Source organism: Homo sapiens, chromosome X (genome assembly GCF_000001405.40).
Source record: "Homo sapiens chromosome X, GRCh38.p14 Primary Assembly".
In the NCBI taxonomy this organism is placed as follows: domain Eukaryota; kingdom Metazoa; phylum Chordata; class Mammalia; order Primates; family Hominidae; genus Homo; species Homo sapiens.
In genome coordinates this window covers 64,842,523-64,851,296 of record NC_000023.11, presented here as the reverse complement: position 1 = coordinate 64,851,296, position 8,774 = coordinate 64,842,523, and the positions used below count along the sequence as shown (strand labels likewise).

The window sequence follows — 8,774 nt, the reverse complement described above, 5'->3', positions numbered from 1 at the left end:
TTAAAAAGCAAAAACAAAAAACAAAGTATGCAGGCAACAAAGAGCATGCAACAGTACCTCACATTTCTATACTAACATAGAATGTAAATGGCCTAAATGCTTCACTTAAAAGACACAGAACTGCAGAATGGGTAAGAACTCACCAACCATCTGCTGCCTTCAGGAGACTCATTTAACACACAAGGACTCATGTAAACTTAAAGTAAGCGTAAGGTTAGCCAAGAGAAGGAACAAGGAGACCCCAAAGTCAGGCAAGCAAGTTTTTATTAACCTGCTGGGCTGCTCCACTGTGGAGGAGGTAGCCCCGCTTACAGGCTGCTGTGGGGTTTTATAGGGCAAGGTGCTAGGTTGGGGTGGGGGAAACTGAGTAGAGTTGCAGGTGTTTCAACCATTTCCTGGAAATGTTTTTGCCTGCTTGGCTAGGCAAGCTTGGCTAGGCAAGGTGGGCAGATGTCTTAACCACATCCTGGAACTGTTTACCAGTTCTACTGAAAGTCTTGCAGAAGTGGCTGTAGAAAAAGTGGGGAGGTGTTTGTAGGTGGTCACAAAGGACCGTATTGCAAAGGTCATGGAGGAGGAGGAGGGGTAGCTTGGCTCTCTAACATTCCAGCCTTTAATAGGTGATAAAGGAAGAGGAGTGACTTTATCATCTGACTGCTTCTAGCTGTAGAGGGGCGGTGTGCAAGGGGAAAGGCTTGGGGGGCTTGGGATGGTTGTTCTTGAAGCCGCTGGTATGCTTGAAGCAGCAGTATACCTCGCACTGTTCCATGGGTGAAGGTTTTGATGTGGTCCTGTAAAAACTGGATAAGGAGACACATGAAGCAGGGTCCAAAAGCTAACAGAAGAAAGATGGTTATAGCTGGGCCAAGGAGGGGTAGTCGCCAGGGAACCCAGGAGCTGAGGGACCATGAGGACCAGAGGGACCAGGTAGCAGATGTGTTTTCTTTTATTTTTTGGGCTCAATCTTTGAGTTTTTTTACTGCATCTTGAACTAGGCCTGATTTATTGGGATAAAAGCAGCACTGTTCATCTAAAAAGATGCAGAGCCCTCCTTTTTCAGCAGTGAGCAAACCAAGGCCTCTGCGATTTTGAAGGACAACTGCTGCTAAGGAGTCTATCTGTGATTGGAGGGTTGAAACAGTATTAGGTAAGTCTTCCAAACTGTTTGTAAGATCTTGTGAGAGGGAGCAATAGTACATGAGGGAAGTAGAAAGCCCGACCACTCCGGTTCCAACTGCAGTAGTCATTCCTAGTCGTACTAGGATGGGTATTAACTGAACGGCCCTGCATTGGCACACTTGAGTTTTTACAGGGATAGGTAGGTTTTGTTTCCTGGGACAATGTCGATTTTTGGGCTTAGAAAAACCAGAGTACAGGTACCAGTCCAGTTGATAGGGTAGCAGAGGTAGGTGGAGGTACCGCACAGGAAGAATATGCCTTGGCTAGGTAAGTAAAATTGGTTGTGTATGTTAAAAAGATGTGTAAGCTTGTGGTCTTTGTATATCCATGCTCCTAGGGTGCTTGCTAAGGCAGCTGTGTTGAGTGGCTGTAAGGGGGTATTGGGAGACAGTTGGGTTGAACCTGAATTTATGTTTTCCAAGTGGAGGAGAAACCATTTTTTGTCTATCAGAAGGCTGTGGTTATTGTTTAATAGAGGAATTAGGAGACATTTGTTTGTGGTGGGGGGCGGTGAACCTCACAGGGAGATGGAGTCCAGGGTTGAAGGGATAGGCAGGGTAGGTGTCTTCCATTGCAGTAACCTGAATTTATGTTTTATAGTAGAGTGATATTAATTTTTTTGGAGGGGGCAGGAAAGTACATGGTGACCCTAAAGATGGGAAGGCTAATATGGTCAATTGGGCCTTGGAGTTGCACAGTGAAATTCCAGTGATTTGAAGGCAGGTGCCCTAAGAGGTGACCTGAGGGGTGATGGCGCTGGATGCATAGAGGGGCTTGAGAAGTTAAGAAAATGTTAGTGATTATGGTTCTGAGGATTGGCTTGGTATGGTTGGTATAAGGGGCTAGATAATTGAAATAGGGGCACATTAGCAGAACTGCCTGCCCTATTGTGGTGAGAGGTTTGTTTCAGAATAGGAATTGGAGAGATGTATTAAGGACTGTAAATCTGGGTATTGGTAGAGACTGCCCAGTTCATAATGGGGGTGGAAAGTTACTTGAGTAAAAACCCAGCCATGGGTTGAAGCAGGAATTGCGGTGTAAGCTGTAGTTGATAGATAGAAGCAGAACCAGCAGTCACTGGCTAGGGTAGGAATGGCCTGTTTAAGAGTGTAAGATTTAGGGTTTTGTGAGGTTAGTTAGGCATTGGTGGGGGAACGAGAGCTAGAGTGTGGAGGAGTAGAAGGGGTAGACAGGCAAAGGGAAGTAGGAAAGTAAAGAAGTGCATTTCATCTGGAGAAAAATCGCACAAGGCACCTTGGAAGAGAAGATCATCTATCCACTGTAAAAGAGAGTTGAAAGTGGGAGCTTGGGGATAAAACCAAAAACTATCTTGGCAAACAGAGGTGAGGAAGAGGGTGAAGTGGCAATGTAGGCATGGACAGGGCATTTAAGAGTGGTGATTATTATAAACTGTGACTCCAGTTATGAGGATAATGGATAGGCAAGAGGTTAGAGTGACTGGGATTTTTGCCTATTAAGGTGCTACAGTATATAATCCAACTGCAAAGAGTATGGTTAGAATGCTGCTTATTGCGATGGTGGCATAGTGAAAGACTTCCATTATGGATGGTCGGGTAGAGGTAGAGGAGATGTTGAAGATTAAGTTGGGTGTTACTTATCTTTTATAGCTTCAGGTGGAAAGTGGTTCTTCTGAAATATGAGTAAGGCGAAGCTGGGTTCATCCGATGGGGGTGCTGAGATATTTGTGGACGACAATTGGTGGATTGGCTGTGGGTGGGTCAGGTGCAGGAGCCCTCTATAATCTGGAAAGATGGTACCAAGAGGTATGTCCTGAGAGTTTGACTGCAGTGGGAATTGTGACAGTAACTTGGGATGGACCTTCCCACTTGAGCTTGAGACTAGTTGGGTTGAGGGTCTTTAGGAAAATGTGTTCTCCTGGTAGGAGAGTCTGGTTGGTGGGGCGTTCATGGGGTTTTGCGAGAGCTTGGTCCACTTGTTCACGGAGGAGATGGCAGATGAGGGAGAGTGTGGGGAGGTATTCTACTAACTGAGAATCAGATGGGGGCCTGTTTTGTAGGAGGAAGGGATGCCCATACATTAATTCGAATGGGCTGAGGAAGGAGGGTGCTCTTGGACTGGCTCTAATGTGGGCTAGAGCTATGGGCAAAAGAGAAGTCCAGGGTTTTTGGACTTTAAGACTGAGTTTAGTTAACCATGTTTTGAGAATTCCATTTGCCCTTTCAACTTTCCCTGATGACTGGGATCGGTAGGGTATATGGAGGTGCCACTGGACACCGAGGGACTAAGAAGTCTGTTGGGTGATTTGGGAGATGAAGCTAGGGCCATTGTCTAATTGTATGGAGTGGGGGAGGCCAAATCTAGGGATGATTTCTGTTATAAGAATTTGGGAGACTACTGCAGCTTTTTCTGAAGACGTAGGAAATGCCTCTACCCACCCAGAGAAGGTGTCTACAAGGGTCAGAAGAAATTCTGTTTTTTTGATGGGAGGCATGTGGGTTAAGTGCACTTGCCAATCTTCCCCTGGAAGTGTTCCTCGTAGCTGATGCATGGGGTTGGAGGGAGAGCAGAGGGCCTTTTGGGAGGAAGTAACAAAGCATATATGACAGTTGGAGGTTACGTTTTTTAGTGAGGTGAATAAGTTGGGGGAGGAGAAATAAGGATGAAGGAGTAGGTAGAGGGGGCATGCACCAATATGGAAGGATTGCTGAAGAGAAGTTAGAATTTCTTTGGTTTGCTCTTTGGGAAGGGTGAGCTTTTTATTTTTGATTACCCAGTCCCCTTGAAGGGAGTCTCCCTCCTGTAGTAGCAAAGTATTTTTGGTGGGAGAGTACTTAGGTTGAATTGCTGGAGTAATGAGGAGGAGAGGGGCAGGGGCAGACAAGAGGGAGGCTTCCTTTGCTGCCTCATCAGCTTTTCTGTTCCCTCTTGAGATTCATCTGATCCTGTTTGATGTCCTCTACAGTGTATAACTCTTGCTTTAGTTGGGAGGTGGGTGGCCTGAAGGAGTTGATAAATAAGGGGGCTGTTAGTGATGGGGGTTCCTTTGGCAGTAAGGAATCGTCTTTCTTGCTAGATGGCAGCATGGGAATGAAGAATGTGGTAGGCATATTTGGAGTCTGTATAAATGTTGACTCATTTGCCTTTGGAAGGTTTAGGGCCCTGGTGAGAGCTATGAGTTCTGTTTTTTGAGAGGAGGTTCTTCGGTGTAGGTGCTTGGCTTCAATTACTCAGTCAAAGGAAACAACTGCATATCCAGCAATTTTGAGGGAGTTGGTGGGTCCAGAAGAGGAGCCATTTATTAATAGTTGGTCATTGGGGATGGTGAAAGGCTCAGAGGAAAAGTTTGGGAAATGTGGCTGTAGGTGGTCCAAGATATCAGTGCAAGAATGAGTAGGAGGGGAAGAAGATACAGGGAATAAGGATGCTGGGTTGAGGGTAGTATTTTTGGCAAGACTGAATTTGGGATTTTCAATAAAAAGGGCATGAAGTGACTGATTTTGGGGAGGAGAGAGGGAGCTGAAAGCCCAGGAGAAGAGATCCTGTAAATTGTGAGGGCTGTGGATGGTGGTGCTTTGGCTTGATGTTAGTTTTTTCTTTCCAGAGCTAAAACAGCCACGGCTGCTAATGCTCTAAGACAGGTTGGACACCCTTTGACAGTGTTGTCTAATTGTTTAGAGAGTAGGCTACAGGGGCAAAGGAAGGAGGATCCCCTTTCTGTTGTCATAAGACACCAAGGGCTGTCCCTTGGCTTTCAGCAGTGTAGAGAATGAAGGGTTGGGAGACATTGGGTAAGGACAGGGCAGGTTCAGTGACAAGAGCAGTTTGGAATTTTTGGAGACTGGGAAGTATGTTATGTGTGGGGCTTAGAGGTTCATTGAGAGAGCCAGGAGGGCAAAGTTCCTAAAGAAACCTGCCAGTCCTAAGAAAGAGATAATTTCATTTTTTGAGGAAGGCGGAGGCAAGCTGTTTATTAAGGCTGCCTGTGCTGGGGTCATGGCTTGGGCCCTGGGGGAGAGTTGGACTCCTAAGTATATTACTGTTGGGTGGACAGTTGGGCTTTGGAGGGGGAGACCCTATATCCTTTTCTAGCAAGAAACTTTAGAAGGGTAATTGTGTGAGTTTGAGAGTCTTTTAGGGAGGGGCTGCAGAGAAGAAGATCATCTACGCATTGAAGGAGACAGCTGGGGGAAAGGTCTAAGGAGGTGAGGTCTTGGGCTAGAGCTTGTCCAAATAAGTGAGGGCTGTCCCTGAAGCCTTGAGGGAGGACAGTCCATGTGAGTTGTGATTAAAAGGTGTCAGGATTAGTCCAGGCAAAGGCAAAGAGATTTTGGGAATCAGGGTGTAGGGGAATGGTAAAGAAGGCATCCTTTAAGTCAATTGCAATGTAGTGGGTGGTATTAGAGGGGATGAGAGAGAGAAGTGTATAGGGATTAGGGACTATGGGATGAATAGGGAGGACAGCCTGGTTGATGGCTTGGAGATCCTGGACAAGTCAGTACAAGCCATCTGATTCCTTAACAGGGAGGATGGGGGTTTTATATGGAGACTGAGTGGGTCTAAGGAGACCGCATGAGCAGAGTTTGTTTATAATGGGCTGCAGGCCTTTTTGGTGGGTGAGAGAGATGGGGTATTGGGGTAGGTTGTGAAATTTGGAGAGGTCTTTTAAGTGGATTTTGATGGGATCATGGTGAGCAGCTAGGGATGGGTGGTGCTGTCCCACACTACTGGGTTAACAAGAGAGGCAGGGAGTGGGTACTGGGGAGAGAGGTCAGGTGTCGGACTAGCAGAAAGGAGCAGGAGAGACTCTGGTTGAGGGAGGCAGGAAAAGGTGATAAAAGCCTTAAATTTGGCTAAGAGGCTTCAGCCTAGAATGGGGGTAGGGCAGTGAGGCATGATAAGGAAAGAATGTGAGAAAATGGTATTAAACAGGGAGCAGTACAGGGGTCTGGTGGCATGGGGATTGGAGACAAGTCCATCAACTCCCACAACTGAGACTTGAGAGGGATGAGTTGGTCCTACAAATTCAGGTAAATCTGAATAGGTGGCCCCAGTATTGATTAAAAAAGAGATCCGCTTACCTGCCTCTAGTAGAGTTACCCTGGGCTCCAATGCAGTGATGGCAGAGGGTGCTGGGGCCATGGGCCCCGTCAGTCTTCAGTGGCCAGGCCAAGGAGTTGCAGGAGTATGAGTGATTATCTACTCTTCAGCTTGATGAGGGGACAGTGGCTCGGGGGGCCAGGCTTTTCTGTTTGCGGGTTAAGAGGGCAGTCAGATTTCCAGTGGCCTGTTTCTTGGCAGACTGGGCAGGAGCTTTTCGGTACTCATGGGTTAGGACATGCCCATGCCCAGTGGCCTTCTTTGCCACTCTTAAAGCAGGAGGAAGACTGCTATCGGGTCCTTTGTGCCCTTGGGTGCTATTGCCAGGTTGGCAAATAGCCATGGCTAGTAGCTGGTATTTGGCACAATCTCATTGGGCCTTATTTATTTTTTCCTGCTCATCCCTATTATTGAAGACTTTGAAAACCAGGTTGAGAAGGTCTCGTTGTGGGGTTTGAGGGCCTTCTTTAGCTTTTAGAGTTTGTGCCAGATGTCGGGAGCTGATTGGGAGATATAATGGGTATTAAGTACTATAGTCTCTTCTCGGGAAGTAGGAATACACGGGTGTATTTTTGGAGAGCCTCTGTAAGGCGGGAGAGAAATTCAGCAGGACTTTCATCTGCCCTCTGGGAAATCTCTTTGACTTTTTCAAAATTTACAGCTTTATGGGCAGCTTTGTTAAGGCCTGCGATGAAGCAAGTAATCATATGGTTACAGGATGCCCAGCTAGGGTCTGTGGGTTGGTATTCCCAGGGGGGCTCTTCTCAGGGGACTGCCGTGGCCCCTACTGGCTTAGAAGGATCTTGCTGATAGAGGTAATTAGCGTGTGCTTGGGCCATGAGCCACACTCTCCTTTTCTTCTGGAAGGAAGGTAGAAGAGAGAATGATATAGAGATCATGCCAAATAAGTTCATAGGAATGGGTGAGACTTTTCAACTCTTTGATATAAGTATTGGGATTGGAGGAGAAGGACTTGAGACACATCAATTTGGGAAAGATCGGTAAGAGAGAAAGGAACATGGACATGGACAATTTCTTCAGCCCCTGCAACCTCCTGGAGGGGAAGTATGGGATCTGGTTGTTGGGCATGTTGGGTCTGAGAGTGGATAAGGGGTAGAGACAGGACTCAGAATCAGAAGTGGGGTGGTTAGAGAGAGGGGGTAAGAGGGTCAATGCTGGGGCAGGAGTGTATGGTGGAGGGTCACGATGTTCTGGAGGAGGAACAGGATGAGGCCAGGGAATGAAAAAGTCTGCAGGGTCAAAGAAGGAGTCGTCAGTTGGTACAGAAGGGGGGTATGCTGAGAGCAAGTCAGGTTTAGAATGGGTGAGTAGGATTTGGAAAGTGGAGCAGGATTGGCAAAGGGAAGGGCAGTTATGGAAGGTGAAGAAAGCCTGAACATAAGGAATTTCAGACCATTTCCCACTGCAATGGCAAAAATTGTCTAAGTCCCTGAATATATTGAAAACGAAAGTACTATTTTTAGGCCACTGGGAGCCATTGTCTAATTTACATTGTGGCCAAGCCACATTACAGTAGAAAATAAGCCTCTTGGGATGAAGCTCTGAATGAAGCCTGAGAGTGTTAAGGTTGTGCAAGAGGCACCCCAGAGGGGTAGTTTTAGACAGAGTAGACTGAGAGGCTCCCATAGTGAATGGAGGATGGGGCAGAGGAAGAAGAGACTGCCAGTGGCAAGGACAGTGGGAGAGAGTGTCCCCAGTCCTGCAGGCCTTGTTTAGTATACAGAAGGCAACTACTGAGTCAGGTGTCACTCAAATGGAGGAGCCATAGGCCTAGAGGCTGGAGGGAGCCCTTGGCCCAGCACTGGGTTTTTCAGGAAGACAGAGATGGTCAAGTGTCCCAGGTAAATGGCAAGAGTCTCTCTTACTCACCCCTGTGTAGACTCTAGTGATGAATGAAGTTGCCAACAATGGGAGTGTCCAATAAATCCTCCAGGTCTTTGGCAGGTTCAGGAAGGGGAGAGTGGCTGGAAAATAAGGAAGGGAACCAAGGCTCTAGCGCATCCCAATGAGTGAGCCCAGGAGGAGTGAGGGGGTGAAAGGGGGAGGGAAAAGGAGATAGAGAGTATGCTCTAGGGACACCCGGCCAGAGCCTACCCCTTCCCGGGTTTTGGCACCAAAATGTAGGGTTAGCCAAGAGAAGGAACGAGTAGACCCCAGAGTCGGGCAAGCAAGTTTTTATTAACCTGTCGGGCTGCTCCACTGTAAACAGAGGAGGCAGCCCCACTTACAGGCTGTTGTGGGGTTTTATAAGGCAAGAGGCTAGGGTGGGGTGGGGGAAACTGAGTAGGGTTGCAGGTGTTTCATCCATTTCCTGGAAATGTTTTTGTCTGCTCAGCTAGGCAAGCTTGGCTAGGCAAGGTGGGCAGATGTCTTAACCACATCCTGGAACTGTTTACCAGTTCTACTGAAAGCCTTGCAAAAGTGGCTGTAGAAAAAGGGGAAGGGGTGTTTGTAGGTGGTCACAAAGGACTGCATTGCAAAGGTCATGGACGAAG

The 8,774-nt window shown here is 47.3% G+C and overlaps 1 long non-coding RNA gene across 4 annotated transcripts; it reads right to left on the bottom strand.

The window, feature by feature from the left end:
• Positions 1 to 247: 247 nt before the first annotated feature.
• On the bottom strand, positions 248 to 8,537 carry LOC105373239 (uncharacterized). 4 transcript variants are annotated; one of them, XR_938417.1, is made up of 4 exons: positions 8,463 to 8,537; positions 8,149 to 8,243; positions 6,240 to 7,118; positions 248 to 2,942 (listed from the first exon to the last, which is right to left on the bottom strand). It is a non-coding gene; the product is annotated as an uncharacterized LOC105373239 (long non-coding RNA). The 4 variants fall into 4 exon arrangements; XR_007068259.1 differs by having other exon boundaries at positions 6,240 to 7,115; XR_007068258.1 differs by having other exon boundaries at positions 6,240 to 6,406.
• Positions 8,538 to 8,774: the final 237 nt, after the last annotated feature.